Genomic DNA, 25,249 nt, shown 5'->3' on the forward strand with positions numbered 1-25,249 from the left:
TCGAGACCATCTTGGCTAACACGGTGAAACCCCATTTCTACTAAAAATACAAAAAATTAGCCGGGCGTGTTGGCGGGCGCCTGTAGTCCCAGCTACTTGGGAGGCTGAGGCAGGAGAATGGCATGAACCTGGGAGGCGGAGCTTGCAGTGAGCCGAGATCGCGCCACTGCACTCCAACCTGGGAGACACAGCGAGACTCCGTCTCAAAAAAAAAAAAAAAAAAAAAGTCCAAACTACCTAAAGCAATCTATAGATTCAATGCAATCCCTATCAAAGTACCAATGACATTCATCACAGAAATAGAAAAAAAAACTATCCAAAAACTTATATGGAACCACAAAAGACCAAGAAGAGCCAAAGCTATCTTAAGCAAAAAGAACAAAACTGGAGGAATCATATTACCTGACTTTAAATTATGCCACAGAACTATAATAACCAAAACAGCATGGCATTGGCATAAAACCAGACAGACCCATGGAACAGAACAGAGAACCTGGAAACGAATCCACACATTTACAGTGAACTCATTTTTGACAAAGGTGCCAAGAAAATATACTGGGGAAAAGACATTCTCTTCAGTAAATAGTTCTGGGAAACTAGATATCCACATGCAGAAGAATGAAACTAGACTCCTATTTCTCGCCATATACAAAAGTCATATACAAAGTAGACTAAAGGATTAAATCTAAGACCTCAAACTATGAAACTACTATAAGAAAACATTGATGAAAATCTCCAGGACATTTGTCTGAGCAAAAATTTCTTGAGTAGTACCCCACAAACACAGACAACCAAAGCAAAAACGGACAAATGGGATCACATCAAGTTAAGAAGCTTCTGCACAGCAAAGGAAACAATCAACAAAGTGAAGAGACAACCTCCAGAATGGGACAAAATATTTGCAAACTACCCATCTGACAAGGGATTAAAAACCAGAATACGTAAGGAGCTCTAACAACTCAACAGGAAAAAAAAATCTGATCAAAAAATGAGCAAAAGATTTGAATACACATTTCTCAAAAGAAGACATACAAATAGCAAGCAGGCATATGAAAATGTGTTCAACATCACTGATCATCAGAGAATGAAAGTCAAAACTACAATGAGATATCATTTCTCCCCAGTTAAAATGGTTTTTATCCAAAAGACAGGCAATAACAAATGCTGGCTAGGATGTGGAGAAAGGGAACTCTCCTACACTGTTGGTGGGAATGTACATTAGCACAACTACTATTGAGAACAGTTTGGAGGTTCCTGAAAAAAATAAAAATAGAGCTACCATATATCCAGAAATCCCACTGCTGGGTATGTACCCTCCAAAAAAAGAAATCAGTATATTGAAGAGATATCTGAACTTCCATGTTTGTTGCCACAATGTTCACAATAGGCAAGATTTGGAAGCAACCTAAGTGTCTATCAACAAATGAATGGATAAATAAAATGTAGTGCATTTACACAATGGAGTACTATTCAGTAATTAAAAGAATGACACCCTGTCATTTGCAACAACATGGATGGAACTGGAGGTTATTATGTTAAGTGAAATAAGCCAGACACAGAAAGACAAACATTGCATGTTCTCACTTATTTATGAGATCTAAAAATCAAAACAATTGAACTCATGGAGATAGTAGGATAGTTATCAGAGGCTGGGAAGGGTACTTGGGCACTGGAGGGGGAGGTAGGGATTGTTAATGGATACATAAAAATAGAAAGAATGAATAAGACCTACTATTTGATAGCACAATAGCATGACTCTAGTCAACAATAAGTTGATTGAACATTTTAAAATAACTAGAAGAGTGTAACTGGATTTCTTGTAACACAAAGGATAAATGTTTGAAAAGGTGGGTACCCTATTCTTCATGATGTGATTATTTCTCATTACATGCCTATATTAAAATATCTCATGTATTCCATGAATATATACACCTACTATGTACTCACAAAAATTAAAAATAAAAAGTTTAAAGTAAAAAAAGAAGATAAAAAACAAGATCTGGTGTTAAATGTGCTCATTACTCTGAAGTTTCACTGCTTCTAGGCCCTTTAAGAGTTAGGAAATGTATAAATGTATATACTATGCCACAGATATAGTCACATGTATATTTCTTAATCTGTCTACATTTATATTAAGAACCATTAATTTATACTGACACCTCTTACTCCAATCCAACATTACAGGGTGTATTTTGGCCTACCTCCTTTCTTTTAATAAGTCTTTCTCCAACAGTGAGAAACCTGGCTCTTATTATCTACAATATATGTACTTAGTTGTTCAATTCTAATGTACATGTAAAGGTAGCTTCAGTAGCACTAATTCATACCCCTGCAAGAAACCCTTTTACTAACTAGATTACAGCACTTTAGTACCATTCTTTTTGTCATTAGCCTTTTATTGCCCAGAAAAGATACTTAGAGTTACCTAGTTATTTTCTTCCTCACTTGCTTAACTGTGGTTGTTATTCATTCTTAATACATTTACTTTCATTTGTTAGTATTTGTATTCCATTTAGGGTTTCCCACACTTCTTGGTTGGTTTTATCATTTATTTATTTGGGATTATGTGAAGGGTATGTGAGACATAATTATGATTCCAAGAGTCAGAGCTACACAGAAAGATATAATCAAAGAAATGTTACTGTACTTCATCCTTGCTAACCTCATTTCCTTCTTTATTCCTTTCCCTCTAGGTAATCAGCCTTACTAGTATTTTATCTTTCCTGTATTTCTTTTGAACAAATGAGCAGATAACTATTTACTTTCTATATCCTTTCTTTCCTACATGAAGGTAGCATGCTATGGATACTCTTTTGTGCTTTGCTTTTTTCATTTGACAGTCCATCTTGGAAATCACTCCATATTAGTTCATAGAGCTCTTCCTCATTCTTTTCTTATACCTATTTAATATTCCACTGCATGACATGCTATAGTTTATTAAATCACTCTCCTGTGGATGGGAATTTAGGTTGCTTCCAATACTTTGCAACTAAGAACAATATTGCAACTAATAAACTTTTGCATTCCCATCAGCAATGTATGAATGTACCTATTTTCCCACAGCCTTCCCAACAGAATGTATTGCCATATTTTTACATTTCATGGAGTCTGGAAAGTGATAAATGGTATCTGAGTGGTTTTAATTTGCATACGCCTAGTTTCAAGTGAATTTAAACATTTTCCCTATGTTTTAAGGTCATTTTTATTTTTTTAGGGTGAATTTTCTCTGTGTATGTTTCGTTTCTCATTTCTCTATTGAGTTTTTGGTCCTTTCTCCTTCCTTAAATTTTAACAAAATCACTTGGCTATTGTGCTGAGGACAAGCTGTAGGACACTGGTAGAAGCAGAGAGACAGTTAGTTGATTATTCAATAATCTAGATGAGAGATATAATGCAAGCTAATCACAGTAGAGGTGGTGAGCAATGGTCGGATTCCAGGTATAATTTGAATGTAAACCAAGAGAATTTCCTAACAGACTGGTTGTAAGGCACGAGACAAAGGAAAAATTAAGGTGGACTCCAAAGGATTTCCACCTGATCAAGTGGAAGCCTGAATTTATCATTAACTAAGATACAGAAGATCTTGGTTGAGGCAAATTTTGGGTGGGTAATAACCAGAAGCTGATTTTGGCCTGTGTTGATTTTGAGATGCCCATTAGACTTCCAAGTAGAAATGTCAAGAAGGCAATTGGATATACAATTTTGGAGTCAAAAGAGGAGTTCCTGAATATAGACGGTATTTTGATCCATGAGAACTAGGTAAGATCATATAGATGTAAAATAAGAGACATAAAAAGATTGAGCTCTAAATAACTCCAACATTAAGAGATCATAGAGAAGGGGAGGAACTAGCCAAAGAGACTAAGAAGAAGCAGTCAACGAGGTATGAGGAAAAAAAAGATTATTATGTCCCTGAAGCAGAGTGAAGAACAAATTGCAGTGAAGACAAAATGATCAAAAGTGTCAAATGCTATTGACAGGTCAAGTAAGAGACTAAGAATTGACCATTAGATTTAGCAATATGATAGTTATTGGAGACCTTGACAACAGCAGCTTTAGAATGCTCTTGCAGAAAAGATAAAACTCTAATTTGACTGAATTTCAGAATAAAGTTAAGTAAGAGACCAGCAGCATTGGACAAATTATGAAGAATAATGTTGTGAAGTATTCAAGGCGCATTTCAGTATCATGAAATACAACATCAGAAGAAATACAGGTGTTTGATGACTTTCATGAGCAGCAAAGCTTTAATAAGGAGCAGAAAAATAAAAAAGGAGGCTAAATTTAAGTCAAAAAAGGTAGATGCAATATATTTATTAGGATTTATTTAACCAAACATTGATGATTACTACGTGTCAGGTACTATTCCAAGTATTTATAAATATAACTAATTTAATCTCTTCTTCTTCCAGTCTTTAAAATTAACTAAAATCATTTTTTTAAAAAAGAGGCCACAATTTTTTCTTTTCTGTTTATACTACTTCCTAAGTACTTAGCTAGACCTTCTAGATGTCTGGATATCTGGCCACTCTTTTGGTTCTTCATATATGCCATGCTCTCTTGTGCCTTAGAACCTTTAAGTTTGCTGTTTCCCCTGCTGGGAAAGTTATTTTAATCTGTCCCTTTTCTTATTTAATTCCTGCTTTTTCTTCAGATCTCAGTTCAACCATCATCTTTGAGGCAAAAATTTCAACTTCTTTATCTAAAGACAAGTAGAGGGCTACAATAGCATATTACAGAAATTTTAAGAGCTGTGCTTAATCCACTTTGCTCACCTTGAATCTCTAGTCCTCAGATAGTGGTTCTTATTTTCCATGAAATGAGGAAACATTGAAGGGTAATGGGGAATGGCTTAGGTTATGTTTTAAAAGGATCACTCTGACTGTTTTACTGAGATGAAAGTAGGGGCACAAAAGTGGAATAAGAAAGATAACTTATGAGGCTACCAATAATCCAATTCAGGGCTGATGATAGCACTGACAATAAAAAGTGGTCATATTTGGAGTATTTTGAAAGCAGAACCAACAAAATTTGTATTGGGTGTGAGGTGTGAGAGCAAGGAGTAAAGCATGACTTCAAGATTTTGCCTGAGCAACTGGTAGGATGCGGTTGTCATCAGCTGAAATGAGAAAACCTGTGGGTGCAGCTAGTTTGAGGGAAGAGCAAGATTTCTGTCTTGAACATAGGTTTGAGATGTCTATTTAGACATCCAATAGAGATATTAAATAGGCAGCTGGAATTCAAGAAAGCCTGGAAATAAAAGATAAAAACTGCAAGTTGGCAGTACATTGATAGTACTTAAAGCCATGAAACTGGATGAGATCACCAAGAGAGTGAGTATAAGCAAAGAGGCAAACCGTGGACTGAGTCCTCAGGTGTTTTAATGTAAAGAGATTAGGGAGAAGGAAGGGATCAGCAAGGAGACTGAGAATGACTAGTCAATGAGGCAGAAGTGTGGTCTTTCAGAAGTGAAATGAAAGTATATCAAGGAGAAAAGGAGTCAGGACAAATAGCTGGTCTCTAAATCAATGTCATTAAAAATTTTAAAAACAAAACCACTCACTTAAAAGCTCTACAGGGTATAACAGCTAGATAAGACACATAGACCTAGATTTAATACTGCTTTAGAAAAACCAGTGGTAAAAAACGTTTTGAGGCCAAATTGGTAAATTTAGCTTTAGTATTAGAGATGAAAACACTGAAAGGGAAAGCTCAAGGTTGCTGTTTTTTTTTTTTTTTTTAAAGGTATGTTCTCACTCTGTCAACCAGACTGGAATGCAGTGGCATGTTCACAGTTCACTACGACCTTGACCCACTAGGCTCAAGTGATCTTTCCACCTCAGCCTCCCAAGTAGCTGGGACTACAGGCACATGCCACCACACCTGGCTAAATTTTTGGCAAAGATGGGGTCTATTGCCATTGCCCAGCCGAACTCCTGGCCTCAAGTGATCCTCCTGCCTCAGACTTCCAAAGTGTAAGGATTACAGGTATGAGTATGCCAGGCCAATTCTTGACTTTAAAAGCAGGATTCAGAATAGTGTAAATAAGGACCTCATTTTGATCAAAAATATATGTATGTATGACGCACACAGAATGATCAGAAAGGATATATAAGGTATTAGTGGTAAACTTTGGATGGGAATATGAAGTTCTAGTTTTTAATATTTTGCTTGCTATATTTTCAATTTTTAATATTTCACTTGCCCTTCCCTCCCCCTCTTCCTTCTTCCGTTCCTCTTTCCCCTCCCTCCCTCCCTCTCTCCTTCCTTTGAGACGGAGTCTCATTCTGTTGCCCAGGCTGGAGTGCAGTGGCACCATCTCCACTCACTGCAACCTCCACCTCCCGGGTTCAAGCAATTCTCCTGCCCCAGCATTCCCAGTAGCCGAGATTACAGGCATGCACAACCATGCCCAGCTAATTTTTCTACTTTTAGTAGAGACGGGGTTTCACCAGTGTTGGTCAGACTGGTCTCAAACTCCTTACCTCAGGTGATCTGCCCACCTCGGCTTCCCAAAGTGCTGGGATTACAGGTGTGAGCCACTGCGCCTGGCCTATATTTTCTACAATACATTTGCACTGTTTCTATGACAGAATGTTTCAACATTTTTCAAAGGAAGTGATGATTCATGAAATTACATTCTGCTGATAAATCAAGAAGACTGACAATTGACTACTGAATCTAGTAATATGGAAGTCACTGGTGACCTTGACAGTATGTTTATGTGGTGTGGGGAGAGCAAAACCTGACTGAAATAGTTTGGCAGTTCCTCAAAACATAGTTAAACACAGTTATTGTATGACCCAGCAATTACAGTCCTAGGTATATACCCAAGAGAACTGAAAATATATACCCATTAAAAAACCTTGTACACAAATATACACAGCAACATTACTTGTAGCTGCCAAAAGTGGAAACAATCCAAATATTCATAACGAATGGATAAAATGTGGTATATCCATGATGGAATATTATTCAGCAATAAATAATGAAGTGCTGATAAATGCTACAACATGGATAAACCTTGAAAACATTAGACTAAGTAAAAAAACACCAATCACAAAGAAAAACATATTGTATGATTCCATATATATGAAATGTTCACAACAGGCAATTCCATAAAGACAGAAAGCTTTTTAGTGCTTGCCTATGGCATAAGGAGAGGTGATGGGGAATGACTGCTAATGGGTATAAGGTTTGTTTGGGGGATGTTTTGAACATTTTGAAAATGTTCTAAAATTATAGTGTTGATGGTTGTACAACTCTGTAAACATATTAAAAACCAGAGAACTGTGTACTTTAAAAAGCTGGATTTTACAGTACATGAATTATATTGCAAAACAGCTGTTAATAGAAAGCAGCAAAATCTAGCTGATCTGTGTATTTCACTTCTTTACAGTATTTTCTGATTTACTCTTTTGTTGCCATTGCACAGATTTTTTTTTTCTTTAACCTCTCTTACTTCCAGAGATTTGATCCTTTTTTTTTTTTTTTTTTTTTTTGAGACGGAGTCTGGCTCTGTCGCCCAGGCTGTAGTGCAGTAGTGGCACAATCTTGGCTCACTGCAACTTCTGCCTCCCAGGTTCAAGCGATTCTCCTGCCTCAGCCTCCTTAGTTAGGATTACAGGTGCCCGCCACTGTGCCCGACTAATTTTTGTATTTTTAGTAGAGACAGGGTTTCGCCATGTTGGCCAGGCTTGTCTCAAACTCCTGACCTCAGGTGATCCGCCCGCCTCGGCCTCCCAAAGTGCTGGGATTACAGATGTGAGCCACTGCACCCGGCCTGATCATTTTTTAATAACATTGTTCTCCTCCTCCTCCTTTAAGAGACAGGGTCTCACTGTGCTGCCCAGGCTGGCCTCAAACTCCTGGGCTCAAGCAGTCCTCCCCACTCAGACTCCTGAGTAGCTGGGACTACAAACACACCACCACGCTCAGCTAACTCCCCATCTCTTAATCCCTATCCCTACACCATTCCCAAACTTTCCCAAATCAAAGATTAACCAGACAGAGAAAATACACTTTTACAGTTTAAGAAATATTAAATGTGATAACTGTTCAGGATCTACTTTTTACACAATCTCAGTAACGTATGTACATAGTCCCAAAAAAAAAAAAAGCAGCATTTGCCTGGGAACACATCACTATAAGCAAACAAAACATCAAATGGCCTGAATTCTAAAATACCTTTGGATTATATAAAATTACATTGTAAAGTTACAAATGTTGCTCATTCTTGAGAAATGTTTGAATGTTTAAATAATGTTGCCATAATACATATTATTTCACGACATTAAAAAAAACAATGGTGAATACAAGGTATCATCATTTTAAGGGTAAAGAGATAAAGCAAGTACATATACAAATCCACTGGAAAAGCTAAGTTTGGAGCTGATTTCCTCTCTTGAATTGTAAAATTTCAGTAATACACAGTCACTATCTACTGCTGGAATAATGCCTGAGCAATTTAGGTAAAGATACAAACAATAACAAAAACCCTGCCCAAATATTCAAACTTGGAGAATTCTAGTTAAAATAATAGAAAAATATAAAATTTATCCTTCCAAAAAAAGGTATCTAAGACAAAGGTATAGATACCCCATGTAAATTATTCACAAGTCATATGTGAATCAACCTTTTCTGTATTCCTTAAAGTTGTACAATCGACTGATGAAAAAACAAGCTTCATATTCAAAGACACTTTCAGAACACACCTACAATTAACTTATTAATGCTGAAGTATATTTTAAAAAACAGCTATTTCACTGAAGTCTTTACAGGAGATTTTATTTTTGGTGCATCTTCTTACGCATTTCTTCAAGAGCTGCTTCTTTCTCTCTCAGCACCTGCTTAAGTCTTCTTATTTTTTCATCTCGAATGGTTTCTTCTAACTCCGGTGGTGTCACTGGGAAAATATCTTCGGTATAATTTTTATTGAAGAAATGACTTTGTTCATAAGCTGCATTTGAATTCAAAGTGCCTTTCTCTTGCTTCTCATGGGTATAGTATTCCATCTCAGTTCTCTTTTCTTGTCTGGTTTTGCTGTGACTCGTGAGAATGTTATGTTGTGACACATCTGAAGTTGGTAAAATACTGCTTAGGAGTTGGGAACCGGTGACATTAGCTTCCCCATTTATGATTGCGTTATAAGCATTCTCTGTTTTTCTCTTCTTTATGTGATCCATCTTCTTATTAGTTTTTGCTTTTCTTTTCTTATCAAAATTCTGCTGCAATATTGAATAACATTCCAAAACAAAAACGAAATGTTACTGCTAAATGCACCGGGTACTACCAAACTTAACAACGTCTGCAGAAACAAATATCTAGCTATTACAATTAACAAAATTTATGGAAGACAACTACAGCAAGAGGGAAATATTTCCCACTGTATGGTACCAAAATGTCTTAATCATATTCAGTAAGAAGAAATTGCCTAATTCACATTTTCTTGCTCAAGTCAAGTATTAGAAGGCATACTGACTCACCACAGAAATATAATAGCACTTGTAAAGTGCCTGAGATATAAAATTGATTGTTTTTTTCTTTTCCTTTGCACAGCAGGCACATATGGAGGATTTTCATTCGAAAAGGTTTACTAGTCTCTGATCTAAAGTTCAGAATATTACATGATAATGACATACTCATAAGTCAAAGTATAACAGTAGGCAAAGTTATAGACATTTCTTTTTATCATTATTAGCTATATAAGTTGCTTAAAAGGTTATTATTAAGAACATATGCATGCTTATATCTTCTACTACATTTGAATTATTTCCTTTAGATAGAGTCCTCAAAGTAGGATGACTAGTTAAAAAGCTATGGCCATTTTCTTGTAACATAATGGGAAAAAAATGTAGTAGGTGAATAAAAAAAATTAAAACATATCTTTAACTGGGATGCATTTTTACCTGTGCGTGTGTGTGTGTGGGGTGGGCGGTGTTTATATATATATAATTTTTTTTTTGAGACAGAGTTTCGTTCTGTTGCCAGACTGGAGTGCAGTGGTGCGATCTCAGCTCACTGCAACCTCTGCCTTCCGGGTTCAAGCGATTCTCCTGCCCTCAGCTTCCCAAGTAGTTGGGACTACAGGTGCGTGCTACCTCACCCAGCTAATTTTTTGTATTTTTAGTAGAGACGGGGTTTCACCATGTTGGCCAAGATGGTCTCGATCTCTTGACCTCGTGATCCGCCCGCCTCAGCCTCCCAAAGTGCTGGGATTACAGGCGTGAGCCACTGCACCTGGCCTGGTTCTTTTTTTTTTTTTTGAGATGGAGTCCTGCCCTGTCGCCTGGGCTGGAGTGCAATGGTGCGATCTCGGTTCACTACAAACTCCGCCTCCCGGGTTCAAGTGATTCTCCTGCCTCAGCCTCCTGAGTAGCTGGGATTACAGGCAACCACCACCAGGCCCAGCTAATTTTTGTATTTTTAGTAGAGACGGGGTTTCATCATGTTGGTCAGGCTGGTCTTGTATTCCTGACCTCAGGTGATCCACCCGCCTCAGCCTTCCAAAGTGCTGGGGCCTGGTTGTTTTAAATATCATTTTGGTATTATGTATTTGCAAAACCAGTAACAACCATCATTTATACTAATGCACAAGGGTTAAAACCAAATCAAGAAAAGTAATATTCATGTATCATTTGTAGTACCTATGAAGAGCACATTAAAATGTATTACCTACCTGTTTTCTCTCTCCTTCCTTCACCATAAACTCTGTCTCTTTGTAAGTACCACTCTTTACCAAACTGCTAAAGGAATCGAAACCTTCTCCAGAGGTCAAATGGTCAGGAATTCGAGTAAGGCACACTCTCAAATCCTTAGTAAGGCCAAATATCTTTTTAAATTCAGCATCACTCTTCAGATGTAATGCCTTATTACTTCTTCCTTGAGAATCTTTCTTGTCATTTCTTCCTTGGGCACCTTTATCTGATGTTGATGCCATCTCATTATGGATCTGGAATTAGGAAAAGAAAACACACAAACAATACTGCTAATTATTCAAGTTACTTTATTAAGCAACTAAGTGATTATTTCATCTTACATAAAAGAACATATCATGCTTTATGATTGGTTTGTATTATCCTTGCCTTACCACCCACACTCAAAAAACTGAATATAAGGAAGTACAAACTTAAAATATTCCCCCCTACAATTTCTCAATTAATTTGTTGCACTAGAAAGGTAATAAGTAGTCAATTCTAAAACAACTAAAATGAGAATACAGACTAATGACAACGTTAAAATAACATATATGACATTATTTAGAAATTGTAGTCTTCTGGAAAAGTCACACATGCCTTTAATCGATCTTGTATTGAACAATCAGAATTTACCTCCTTACATCTCTGGAGTTCAATGAATTCTGTACTGAAGGGGAGAAATGCTGACATTATTGAGTAGACCTCTAAGTAAGCAAGGAAAAGATGGGTACAAATATCTAGTAAGCACACAGACAGACAAACCTTAAGTCGAACATAAAGGTAACTATGTGGGCATGTTGGGTAACTGGCTGAGGAGTCACAAAGAGCTAATAAAAAGGAAAATGAAATTTGTCTACCAAAAAAAAAATCAACCCATCAAAGATGCTGATAAAATCTTATTTCCACAAATTACTGAAAGGTATTGATTAGCCCTGTCTCACCTTTTCCATGGTATACCACCACCACCACCACAAAAAAACCCCACAAAACCCCAAAACCAACTCTTTTACATGCATATTGATCTCCTCATATACTAAAAAGGCTATTATATATGAACATACATATATACATGTATGTATATACATATACTCACATATTTTTACTAAGCTTTGAATTCACATTATCCTTCCCCAACTCTTCTAAACCTTTTTGCTCTGTGAATTTTTTGTTTTAAAGATTTGGCATGCCAAGTGATTCAAGAGAAAGACTGTACTCCTTTGTACAAGATTGTACCCAACTGTACTCCTCCTCAAATTTGCTCAGATGGAAGTTTTGACTTAAATACTCATATGTGTATAGTCTGTGTGTGATGGGGTTGGCAGTGGGGGAAAGAGGTATCATAGATAACTTTGAGAATTAAGAAAACAAACTTTTCTATATAGATATATAAAAAGAGCACCCTGACATGGGAAAATTACCTTTGGTTCTTGGTCTCTGAAAACACACTGTTGTGAAGTAACAGTTGTTGCATCAACAGAGGAACTTATTTTCTCTATGCTCTGGAGGACACTTCCTTTTCTAGCATAAATGACGGCTGTTACTTTTCTGGGGGCATTGTGTCCTGTACTAAATCCAACTGGAAAGATTGGATTTGTGAATAAAGTCTTACTCTGTTTTAAGTAGTTACTGGATTGGTTCATATGTGGATTTGTGGTAGAAGGAGATGGTTTCTCCACTTTATTCTTCTCTGCCCTTAGATTGGCCATGGAAGCAAGCTGGGTATTGGAAAGTGATTTTGTCTCCATCTGGGAAGATTTACTTTTAGCCAAAACAATATTTACAACCTCTCTGGATATTTCTGTGACTGGACTTGAACTCACTGTCTGTAACGTGTCTTTTCTTACTGGAGTATCAGGAGAAACAGAATTCTGTTGGTCAATTTGTGATGGCAGAACATCTGTCCCCTTTTTAGCCAACAGATAGACTTTCCCATTAAACATAACCAAAGCATTATCTTTAATAGGCATATTTTTGGATCGCGTCCCACTAGGATCGATGGTACTCAATGGTGGCATATTTATAGTATTATCTCCCAAATTTTTCCTATCTACAAAAGTTTTTAAAATCTTTGAAGCCACATTATTTGAAGACTTAACAGGAACAAGAGATGGCGTAAAAGGCTGTAGATTATCTTGGAAAATCCATTTCACTGGAGCAGCTTGAGAATGCTGACCACCTTTCAATTGTGTCTCTGTAGCAACATTCTTTGGAATTTGTGTGGTATTTAGTATTACTGGCTTTGCTATTTCTGTAACAGGTTTTGGGTAAATGTTTTGAAAGTTCTTGGTAACTACATTTTTCACTGTATTTACAGGAGATACATAAATAACGGTTGGCATTTGGGAGGCCTCAACCATTCCTGAGGTACTGGTGGTGGCAGTTGCAAGTATCTTTTGCTGCACTGAAGGAGGCAATGATGACGCTGGTACAGATTTCACTTCAGCATGGGCTGGAATCTGTAAATGATGCCCAGAAGGCAAAACTGGAGACTTCACAGTCACTGGAAGACTCTGGGTATTAACTACAATAAAAGATGAGTCTTTTTGTGTTGAGGGAGGAACAGCAAATGTTTGCATGGTGAGTCCATCAATTTTCACACCATGACTCTGAACTTTAGAAACTGATGAAGAAAAATTTCCAGTTCCCACAGAAGTAACTCTACCTTTTTCTGATGTATCTACTGTTCTTGTAAGAAAATAGTTTGAAGAACTGGCTGGCTGAAAAATGGGCAATTGAACTGATGCACTTGTGGAAGAGCTGGAAATCTGAGTCTGAAAAGTAACTTGAACTGGTTTTCCTGTATTCCCTTTCAAAGCATCAGACATGACTGAAGATTGAACTAGTGGTATAAGATTTCCAGAAGACTTAGGAATTGGAAGTAATTGCAGAAGATTTTTTCCATCCGAGCCAATCGTCTGAACTACTTGGTACATGCAGCCTGAAACACTTAAAAGAACATTGAGTAAATAAATACAACATACTACATGGTATATACATTTTATTTAAAAATAAATATTTGTAAATATTTGTAAATATTAAAATAAAGTATATAATTTTCCATTTTGAGTTTTTAAAGTGAAAGACTGCAAAACAAATATTTTGAAGTAGAAGAGATAATGATATAGTCAACTGCTTATATGATTAGGCAATGGGTATGAGATAATAACATTTATTCCTAAGACTAAAAGTAGACATTTCTAAGGTTTTGCCCTATATAAAATTATACTACTAAAGTAAGCTCCTCTTAAAATATTAGCATCCTCCCTTCCCCCTTTCCCTGAATTCCTTCCTCTTGTCCTCCTCCTCTACTCTAACTGAAGATTCTCATTCCCTCTCCCCTTACTCTTATTCCATTTCTCTCTTTTCCCCCTCAATCTGTTCTGTCTTCTTCCTTCAATAACTCACAAGTTCTGCCAGCCATTCTTCTTTTGCCTAAGCTATCTCTCATGGTGTTACCTTAGTTTGCCACATTTTTGTGCTATAGATTTCACTGAACTGTTTACATAGGAATCATTTTCTTCTGATTACTGTTTCAGCACATTTGAGGTTTAGTGCTACATAGTCTCTGGTATAGCAATTATTTATATTAGTCAATTGTCAATCACCTATCAACCCATACATATAATACCACTGCAATTTCAGCTGAATGGTTTTCAATCAATGTGGAACAGACTGGAAATCAATTTTTTTTAACTGAATCAATTCTGACCCCCATGCCTTGAATTATTTCTTAGTATAGACTGTCTAATCTTAAGAAAAATCAATATATACTAATCTCTGTTTGCATAATTAGTTATTTGGAGATTACTTGAATGTAAATACCTTACCTTATTTATATCTAAAACATTTTTCAGCTCCTGGGAAATATTGAGCTTTCATGTCACACATACTATCACTCTACCTAGGTACGCCTCACCCAACTCAACTCTTCACATAGCTCAAGTCTTGGCATAAATGATATTTCTCAAGAGATACATTTTCTGACCACTTTATCCTTGTCTTTCCTTCATAATTAATCCATAACATTATGCTTGTTAGCTTCCTTCATGGTATATATCATAGATTGTCATCATATATTAATATGTTTGTCTATAGACTGTCTCTCATATTATATTCTACCAATATGAGTGCAGCATCCATATACCATAGACCTAGCATGGTCTTAGATAACTAAGATCAAATAAATACAAAAGTTCAAGGGCAAATAATAACGATAATAATTAGGATTCTCAAAAGCATAAAGGTATGTTTTTAAAACTCTCAGGTATTAATAAAAATCAATACCCAAAATTCTATGTATCCGTAGAAATTTGGTTTACCTTTCTGCAGCCCGAATAACATTATTATATCCTTACAAAAATTTAAAAGTCTTTTGGACACGTGAGAGTGGGTCAAAATATTACATTGACATTTTGTTATTGTTGCTGTTGAGACAGGGCCCGGCTCTGTCATCCAGACTGGAGTGTAGGTGTACAATCTTGGCTCACTGCAATCTCCACCTCCTGGGCTCAAGCTATCCTTCTACCTCAGCTTCTCAAGTAGCTGAGACCACAGATGCACGCCACCAAACCCGGCTAATTTTTGTATTTTTTATAGAGGCAAAGTTTTGCTATGTTGTCCAGGCTGGTCACACACTGACTTTTAATAAATTAAAAGTTAACTTCTAAAGAGAATAAACCCAAAGAAAAGGATGAATTCTTGCTTTCAGGGTTTTAAGAGGAAAAATCTACCTTTATTACCTCCCTGCACCACAAGAAAAGCACATTTGACCTGGATAAGAACATATTCAATATTAAGTCATTACACAAAAATTTACCAAGTGTCTGTTTTAAGTTAAGCACCAGGCTCATCAGGAAAAAAGGGTCAGTAAGCTGTAGCCTCTGGGCCTAATCTGGCCCACTCTGTTTCTGTGCATTCTTATATTTTAATTGATTTTTAAAAATCAAAAGAGTAACAGTAGCCTCTGTAGTGGCTCCTCAGTCTTCTTTGCCAACTCATACTTTTGAATCAACTTTCAAATGTTGGGAGTTTACCAAAGCTTAGAAAGAATCCTTCTCTTCCTATTCTGTACTCTTTTGTTAGATGCTTTCTTCTCAATGCATAACTTCAATTAAATTATCACTTACGCATGAACAATTTCAATATTTCTATCTGTGGCTTCTTTGAAATTTAGGCTTATACATCCAAATTCCCTTTTAACATTTTCATTCAGAATCTCAAACGTTCCTAAAATTCAACATGGCCAGCAGATCTCTGCCCATCCTAATCCCCCCAAGTTCCATCTTCTGCAGGGTTTTCTTTGCTAAATAGCATCTCATCTACCTTAGGTGCCTTAAGTCAGAATAGATAAATCCTCCTTTCTTATTCCTTATATTCAGTGATCACAAAATCCTGTTGATATTGTCTCCTAAATTTCCTTTCATCTGTTCAATTCTCTCCAAATCAACTGTTACCACTCTACTCCAAGCAAACATCATCTCTGGCTTAGAATACTACAATAGCTTCATGACTGATTTTTTTCTCCAATCATATCTTCTACCTTTCAATTTACTCAGCACACTAAAACTGATCTTTCCCTGCTTAAAACATTGCAGTGGCCTTCCATTATTCTTAGAGTCGTAGGAAGAAAACCATTGCTTCTGATGCAATGTTAAGCCAAAGGAACAGAGGATTTTAAGAAAATTGGGCAATTATACTAAAAGTTTCTGAGATGCCAAATAGGATAAGGATTAAAAATGTACACTGAAAACAGTGCTGTGAAGATCACTGATGGCTTTAATAAGAGCAGTGTGGTAGGGGAAAGAAGTTGCTGAGGAGTGGGTATGAAGCAAGTAGACAACTCTTTTTAAACTTTGACTGTCAAGGGGAAGAGAACGACTGGCAGGAAGCTACAGGAATAAATGGAATCAAAGAAGGGATCTTTCCTTTTTCTTTGTTTAAGGTTAGATTAACCAGAACATATGTAAATACTCAAGTGAGCCAGTTCAGGGAAGAAACTGGTAATAAAGGAACAAAAGGGATACACAATGAGAAGGAGGCAGGAAATGGAAACCAGAGAGACAGGTGGAGGGACTCAACCTTAAAGAGAGCTGGAGACCTATCTCCTTCCATTGCAACACTGGAGGAGAGATTATGTGCATTTTCAGGTAAGCATACAACTTTGGGGTTAGGAGGCTGAGGTAATTCTCATTTAATGGGTTTTATTTTCTTTATGAAAAATCACATGACATCATCTGCTAAAAGTAAGAGCAAAAATATGGAAAGATTTGAGGATAATCAAAGATTGGAACAGTCTTCGTGAAGGAGTAAACTGACCACAGAAGATATTAGAGTTGCCAGGATGTGTTGATGGCATGGGGAGACAGGTAGTGGTTATGAATTTATAGTGGTACTAATCTGTACTCGAGATTTTTCTTGTCACACCAAGCACAGATAAAGAGAAAGCATACTGAGTTCATCCAGGGTTGGGGTGGCATCAGGAAGGTGCAACAAAAAAATCAAAGAAGAGCAAAAGAATTTAAGGTATTGATAAGAGTTATTAAAATGAAACAGAGTCTAAACTGGATAGGAAGAAAATGAGAGAATAAAAGGCTAAAGTATAGGGATAAAATAAAGGGATTATTGGTCTGTAGGGCCAGATAAAGTTAACAGTTACAGTAGGAACAGTTAAACAACTCAGCTAGAAATACAGGAACTGGCATTTAGAAAACAGGATGCGTGAAACAGTTTCGTAGATGCAGCAATTTCATCTAATAATAAGTACTACAAAAGTAGATAGGTGCAACAGAACAGAGAATAAGATCACTGGGGGAAAAGATCTCTGTAATAAAGATGAGGTGACAAAGAGATTATCCATACGGATATTGAAATCACATGAGGGAAGATGGTGAGCTAGATGGTGAACTAAGCGCCAAGTTCAGTGACAGGAAGTTGGTAGATGGTGTTAACAAGCTGCAATTAAGTGATATGCCAGAAAGTTATCTTGAAGCCTACTTTCTTCTGCAGTCTATTTTCTTTCCTATTATTCTACTAAAACTTCATTCTCAAAGATTACCAAATATGTTCTCACAGTTAAATTTGTCTTTATCTTCATTCCCTAGGTACCTCTCTGTTGCAACTAATTATCCCTCCATATTGATCCTCTTACCTATCATAGTTTCCACTGTGTACAACCTCTGTTTCTCTTGACTTTCCTAATGCTCCCTTACTCATTTTCTGCATTCTAAGCATTCTCCTTTAACTATCCCACATTTCTTGACCCTGTTTTTCTCCTTCAAGACATTCTTCCTTAAAGACTGCAACAATTCGCCAGGTGCGGTGGCTCACGCCTGTAATCCCAGCACTTTGGGAGGCCGAGGCAGGTGGATCACGAGGTCAGGAGATCGAGACCATCCTGGCTAACACAGTGAAACCCCATCTCTACTAAAAATACAAAAAAAAAAAAAAAAAAAAAATTAGCCGGGCGTGGTAGCAAGCGCCTGTAGTCCCAGCTACTCAGGAGGCTGAGGTAGGACAATGGAGTGAGGAGGCGGCGGAGCTTGCAGTGAGCTGAGATCGCGCCACTGCACTCCAGCCTGGGCGACAAAGCAAGACTCAGTCTCAAAAAAAAAAAAAAAAAAAAAAGACTGCAACAATTCTCACGGCTTCAACTATTTTCAACTATCTTCTTTGGAATAATGACTCCCATAGTTATATCCTTTTATTCCTGTCCCCTACTGGAATTGACATCAGTTCCATATTTGTGATGTCTTACCAAACATTTTAATCCCATCACTTTAAATCTACGAAGTTAAAATTACTCTCTATTGAAAAGTAGTAGTCTATCCTACCATTCAATCATATGGCAGCGCCAATATTTTCCACATCATATAGGTTTCAAATCACCTAGTCATTGCTGATTTGTCTTTATCATCATTCTTATTTACTTTAAATTCATCCACAGAACCTTGCATATGTCCTTACAAAAGGCAAACATTTAATAAATGCATACTGAATCATCAAGTCTATACGGTTTTCTTTTTAACCCATTTCATCCATCTTTTCTTTCTTCATCATTGTGACTTCCACCATCTACATGAGATCCTCATCAGATGTGTCTAGCACTCATCATTCTCATCCCTACAGTATTTTGCTGATGTTGTTTTTCTGATTGCAGCCACTATTGACTATTATGTATCTCTGGCAGACTAAAATTGTTTTCATCCTGTTATCTCTTGTTCAAAGTTTTAGTATTCATCATTGCCAATTCAGCTGGACGCGAAAATCATCTACAATCTAGCTCCAACCAATCTCTACAACAATACCACCCACAACTTCTCAATGTGAAATCTCTGCTCTTACCAGAGAGATCTCTTTGCTATTCTGGAATATGCCATGTATATTACATTATTTACTCAAAGTATTATTATTTTTCTTCTCCAACAATATAAAATTAGTTTCCAATTCTATCTTTTCCATAAAATATCTGCCAGTCACTCCAGCTTAATTTCTTCCAACTTGGAATCCCGAATGTACTCCCATTGGTGCTATTAATGTTGGAAATTATATAATGCTTTCTTTATTGACTTTAATCTATTAGCTAATTTTTTAAAATGAGTATTGTTTCATTCAATAAGACTGAAACTCCTTAAGGTGAGAGGCTTTATAATTTATTTTGCAAATATCCTTCCAATACCAAGCATAGTATTTTATATGATGTCTATATTTCTGCTTTATAAAAAAAACTATACTGTGTGAGCTATTTTCCAATCTGATCACTAAATTTTTCCCTCTCTTTTCCTCTATTTCACCTCCAAAAAATAAAAAAAAGGAAGAAAAATTAAGCTTCTTCCATGTCAGTGTATCAGTGAGAGTCACATAATCTACCACAGACCATAAATTCCTGCAGGGTAGATTATCCTATTCATATCTATATACTCCGCATCTAATTCAGAAACTGGAAATTGCACACAATAATGTTAGCTGAATTGAATCCTACAAGGTATAATTTTTTTAAAAATCCATGATTTCTTGGCAACAAAATGTAATGAGTTCTAAAAATTAATCTGCAGAATGCTAAGAAGTAATAACTCAGGATGAAATTCGTACTCCTTCTATCAATATACAGTTTTTCATATCTAGAAGGAGCCTTCCATTGAAGAGATTAAATAATTAAAGTCCTACAAAGATTCTGTTTTCTGAAAGATCATATTCTGCGGGCTAATGTCAGAACTAAAACTAGAACCAGATTCTGCATCCCATTTTCTAGTCTGGTCACCTAATTACTTTAAAGTAATTACTTTAAACCAGCTGGTGTTCAAACTGAGAAACTACATTTGAAAAATAATACAGTTTAACAGTTTAAAAGAGAAAAGAGGAACATATTAGAAAGATTACAGGCTACTAATTCTGGTTCTTATAATTACAAGTTGACTAGAAAATGTACTTATCCTCTTTGAATCTGTTTCTTCATTTGTTAAATAGGGGAAAATAAAGCTTACTAGGAGAAGTAAATGAAATAACTGCCTGGGAGCATAACAGTTATCATCTTCCATTAAAATATGCAATTGGTCTCTGAGAATAAGGTAAGATAAGGTCTTTTAAAAATGTAATGAGAAATATGGCCGGGTGCAGTGGCTCATGCTTGTAATCCCAGCACCTTGGGAGGCTGAGGTGGGCGGATCATGAGGTCAAGAGATCGAGACCATCCTGGCCAACATGGTGAAACCCCGTCTCTACTAAAAATACAAAAATTAGCCGGGCGTGGTGGCACACGCCTGTAGTCCCAGCTACTTGGGAGGCTGAGGCAGGAGAATCACTTGAACCCAGGAGGTCGAGGTTGCAGCGAGCCACTGCACTCCACCTGGCGACAGAGCGAGACTCCATCTCAAAAAAAAAAAAAAAAAAAAAAGAATGAGAAATTTAATAAAAAGGCACATTAAACATATTGGTAATGTTATATAACTTCTGACATTTTTTACTATTCTAATATTGATATGAGGCATTCATATATTAGAAATAGACTAATAAAAATGTTGAAGGCTGATGAACATTTTATAGATATTTTTGCAAAATATATTTTTTTCAACTGCTAGGAAATCCTTTTCTTACTATCTATGACATAACATTATATACATATAGAACATAATATATCTAAGTACATAACATAGTTATCTATCCAATAATATGTACCATGTATTGCGTACATGATAGATATACCAGTTGTTACTAACTCTAATCCTAATAAACAGTCAAGAAAGTTATGAACTGCCATTCCCATTTTATACTTGAGAAAATGGAGATTTGGAAACATTTAATAACTTACTTAGAATTACACACTCCCCTTGAGAAAGCTTATCTACTTTCTATATTTACTTTAGCATAACCCCATTATAACAGGGTCCAAAAAATTCAAATGTATAAACTAAGAGATTAATGACAGATTTCATTTAGACTCTATAGTATGTGTGTCTGTCTCTCCCTCACACACACACAGACACACTCAAATCACAAAATAAAACACTGTACACAACAAAATGCATACTGAACTGACAATGAAGCATCATCATTCCAGTCAAACCAAACCCCCTGCTGAGAACACTTAAGTTTAGCTCCCCATTTGAATACAAATGGTTATGGGAAGATAGCTGCCAATGGCCAATCACATGATGTCTTAATTCTTATTATTGTAGGATATATAATCACAGGCTTTCATTATAGTACCTCTAAGGTGATGCTTCCCAAATCTCTAGTCTCAGCTCTGACTCAGCCTGAGTTTCATATTCAAATATCTGACTGCTTTCTTGATGTGTTCCTCATCTCAGTTAATTTACCAATATCCACCCAGAAAACTGGCATCATAATTGATCCCCCTTTCTTCCTGCCAATTCATTAACGAAGTCGGTCTATTTTCCCTTCTATATTTCTTTGAATCCAACCCCTACTGTACTGTACCAGCTAGTTCAGGCCCTCAGAATTTCTGAAAAGACAACTGAAATAGGATCCTTATATGTAGATCACTCACCCTCAAATCCAGACTGCCAACGTTATCTAAAATGTACACCTGTGTCAGTCTTTTTCTTAAAATACTCTGACCTATTTCCAATAGATGAAGTCTAATCTCCTTAGCAGGGCAAACAGAACCCTTAAGAGCTATCTATCTATCCTACTTGTACAGAATCAAGCAACAAGTATCAATCATAAACCATACACGTCCTTTATTTACCAGTTCTCTGCATAAGCATATCCTGCTTTTATCTTTAACTGGATAGCTGATACTTATGTTTCCCAACTCAGCTGTTCTTGGAATCTTTCTTCCAACTCCCTTTCTCTACTCTCTTCCTTTACTACATCAACTCTACTTTCCTCCTCCTCCACCATGACTGTAAGGTTTTCCCTGGCAACAGCCCATATCCTATTATTAATCAGTCTTCCCATTTAGCACAGTCTATCACATAGATAGTAGGCACTAAATGAATGTTTTTTCATCAAATGTTTAAACTGTATTGATAGTAAGTGGTAAGCTAGGATATGAACCCAAGTCTCTATGACTTAAAAGGTTCTTTCCACTATAGCGTTCTGACTCCTGCTTTATTCTTCGACAATAAAACCCAAATCAATATAAATTAAATGCATACCATCACAAATATCTTCCAGATTTTTCCTTTGTACTCTAAGATTAAATTTGGGTTTTACATGTGATGTTCTGATGAATTAAGAGATACTTCAAACAATATACAACAATATACAATTCTGTATTATGCTACTGAAAAATTTTAAATAAGCAGTAACAGGAAATATTTAAGCTACAAACAATAAGAAAATCATAGTCATTTAAGTTATAAAAATAAATGATTTAGTACCATCAAACATGTTACCAGAAAAATAAGAAAACTAAGTTTCCAATAAACTACAAGGGCCGTTAATATTATTTACAAAATTATATTTGGATGTTTTATTACTTACAGAACAGAATGGAATCAAATACGCAACCATTAACCAAAGTAAATGTCGAAGCTTCAGAAAGTCATCTGGTAAATGTCCCAAATATATGATGTAAAACCTCAATGATTTAAATAAATACATTCAAAAATAATAAAAACAATGCATAAATCAATGAGTTAATGAACTCAAAATGACTTATGAATGTAATTTGTAATTTAAAAATCTCCAAATCCCCAAAAGGATTAGAAACTGGATAACAGAGTTAAGGGTACACACACACACACACACACACACACACACACACAAAGTAAAGTTGTTTATCTTACTTTTTGTATTTAAAAATGCAATCCTAAAACAAATTTTCTATAAATTAAGCTAAGTCAGAAGTCAGTAAGTATTCAGGTACTAAAATAAGGCTGCAGAAATTAATCATTTAAAAAGTAATTCTACTTTCTCATATGTACACAGGGCACTCTCTGCCCCTTCCCCCAAACTTCCACCACAAAATTAAAAAAAAGAAAAAAGAAAAAAACACACAAGTACACCAAAAAATGGCTCTTTTTATGATTTGAAATACAATGGTTCTATCTTGACAGTTCAACAGAATTTTGGCTCATTACTATTAGTGACCATTTCCTTTTATAATATTGCTTTTAAGGACTCACCATTACTTACGGTCTTTATTGCAATGGAGTTTTCTACTTGCAATTAAAGAAAACTACCTGCTGGGCTAAAATCTGTACAGAATTAAAGTTGTATGCTTATAATAGTAATAGTTAACATTTAAATTGTGCTTTACTATTTTCCTACACGACGTATTTTACATTATTTCATTCTCCTAATCTTTAAAATATTTCTAAGTGCTATTATTTACAGACTGGAAACAGGTACCTGGCCTCACAAATGCTAACTAGCAAAGTTGAGATTAACCCCAGGTAGCTTGATTTTCTTCAAACGAAAATCCTCTTCCATGAGTTTTGCATCTTAGTTCTTCATTTTCTTATTAGAGTCTGCAGACCCTATTTTTTCCTCATCACTTAATCTACTAACCATGTGAGAGTACAAGTGAAAATATTCTGCTTTAGCTAACATTGTTTCCAATTCATTTCCTTGTAATACAATTTAAAAAAAAAAACCCAAAAACTAAGTTACTGATCATCTATTTTCTAACTTTACAAGAATATCTTCCTTAGAAATACTGGACTCTCCTCATGCCAAATATAAATAGCCAATGAAATGGCACTTCATTACACCCTACTTCAAAAAGGCTGTTCAAAAGGACTGACTTTACACGAGGATTTCTCCAGTCTTACTTCTCTCTCTTCACATAAAACTATTACTTGAAATTTTAAATATTCGATCTCCTCATTCTAAAGCCCTTTTTCTTCAATCACACACCCTTTCTGTCTCACTATTAAAATCTATTTTCACTGAAGGTCCAGCGCCACCAGGGCTGCACTTGCTAATCCGTGCTGACTGCTGCGTTTCTGCGTGTGCGTGAGAATCTTCCAGAAGGTTTGAGTCACATAAGAGCGTCGGCCATCTTGGTTTTCATCTCCCGTGGAGATCTACTCGGTCCGCCTATTAAACTTGAGACGCTGGGGTCCCGCGGAGCCGCTGTGTCAGGCTCTAAAGAGGTTTTACATTTCCCAGAGGAAAGCGCTCTATGGGCTTTAAGCGCCGCGGAGACAAGCGCTTCCCGCCTGGGTGGCGCACTCTGCGGGCTCCAACTCCTCTCAACTACACAGCGTCCGGAAACGACGGCCGACTCCACATCCCTAAGACGGACAGAGGGGCAGCCGTGGGGAGGATTCGAAACCGGTACTTACCAACGCGAGGCGTTGCCTGAATTTTCCTCTGCGGGTTTCAGGAAGACCCTCCGTAGGTTATTTGACATTTTAGTGGGGAGAAAGGGGACACCTCATCCAGAAAAGTGGGAAGCGTGGGGCCGAGTTTCCCAATGGGGCGAGAACCAGAGCGAGGGAATGTTGGGCTGGAGTTGCCCACAGCAACTGTGAGGGGTTCGACCTTAACGGAGGGCGACAGCGGGCTCTCGAGAGGGTGTATCCCCAGGCTTCGGGACGAGGTCGCGCACCGCGCAGAAACCGGAAGGCTCCTGGCGGTGGACTGCGCCCTCACAGCCCTACGCTGAGAGAGAATCGGCGTGAGTCTCCGCCCTCAGAGCCTACGACAACTCTCCAGACTCCGCCGGAGCAGGCGCAGGGGGCGTGGCCTTGGTGGCACCACCCCCAACAGAGCCTGGTCAGTGCTGAAGACTGCGTCAGTCTGGCTCTGCCGCCCCGCCCACTGAAGCCGATAGCTGGAGCAAAGCTCGGTCGGGCGTCTTCCGGGGTCGTCACGTCCGGTTGCCAAGGTGACTGGCTCGCTAAAGCCCAACCCTTATGATGCAATCCAATGGCAAGTGATATTTGCTATCTTTTCTTCCGGATCAAGGAACAAATCGCAAAAGAAAGCTCTCCCGACACCTACGCAAAATAAAATGTTTCCGGGGTCAATCATAAATTTTCTGCTTCTGTGCTCGCCGCTAGCGTACGTTTTTCTCTCCCGTCAGTGCATTAAAAGACATCGGCGCGCTTTTTTGGAGTCATGCACTTCTGGCCTGAGAAAAC

At 37.0% G+C, this 25,249-nt stretch overlaps 1 protein-coding gene across 4 annotated transcripts in view, besides 2 other annotated features; it reads right to left on the reverse strand.

Moving 5' to 3' along the window:
• The window catches only part of LRIF1 (ligand dependent nuclear receptor interacting factor 1), an 88,966-nt gene extending 64,216 nt beyond the window's left edge, over positions 1–24,750 (reverse strand). The window contains exons 1-4 of one of the 4 annotated variants that reach the window (XM_005271029.5): positions 24,449–24,750; positions 12,116–13,643; positions 10,679–10,951; positions 8,018–9,224 (exon numbers count right to left, since the gene is read on the reverse strand). In XM_005271029.5, the coding sequence (XP_005271086.1) occupies positions 8,787–9,224; positions 10,679–10,951; positions 12,116–13,643; positions 24,449–24,516 (2,307 nt within the window). In that variant the 5' untranslated portion in view covers positions 24,517–24,750 and the 3' untranslated portion in view covers positions 8,018–8,786. Of the gene's footprint in view, positions 1–8,017; positions 9,228–10,678; positions 10,952–12,115; positions 13,644–24,448 lie in introns of those variants that run through there. The other 3 variants (NM_018372.4, XM_017001769.3, NM_001006945.2) reach the window with 3 other exon arrangements.
• Positions 24,338–24,874: an enhancer, noted in NCBI's record as "H3K27ac hESC enhancer chr1:111506132-111506668 (GRCh37/hg19 assembly coordinates)". NCBI's record gives its function as "activates a minimal SCP1, AML or CMV promoter by ChIP-STARR-seq in primed H9 embryonic stem cells {active_cell/tissue: H9 hESC(primed)}" and the evidence as "EXISTENCE:reporter gene assay evidence [ECO:0000049][PMID:30033119]".
• Positions 24,409–24,618: an enhancer, noted in NCBI's record as "active region_1479". NCBI's record gives its function as "activates an Ori minimal core promoter by ATAC-STARR-seq in GM12878 lymphoblastoid cells {active_cell/tissue: GM12878}" and the evidence as "EXISTENCE:reporter gene assay evidence [ECO:0000049][PMID:35858748]".

This window comes from Homo sapiens, chromosome 1, assembly GCF_000001405.40.
Source record: "Homo sapiens chromosome 1, GRCh38.p14 Primary Assembly".
In the NCBI taxonomy this organism is placed as follows: domain Eukaryota; kingdom Metazoa; phylum Chordata; class Mammalia; order Primates; family Hominidae; genus Homo; species Homo sapiens.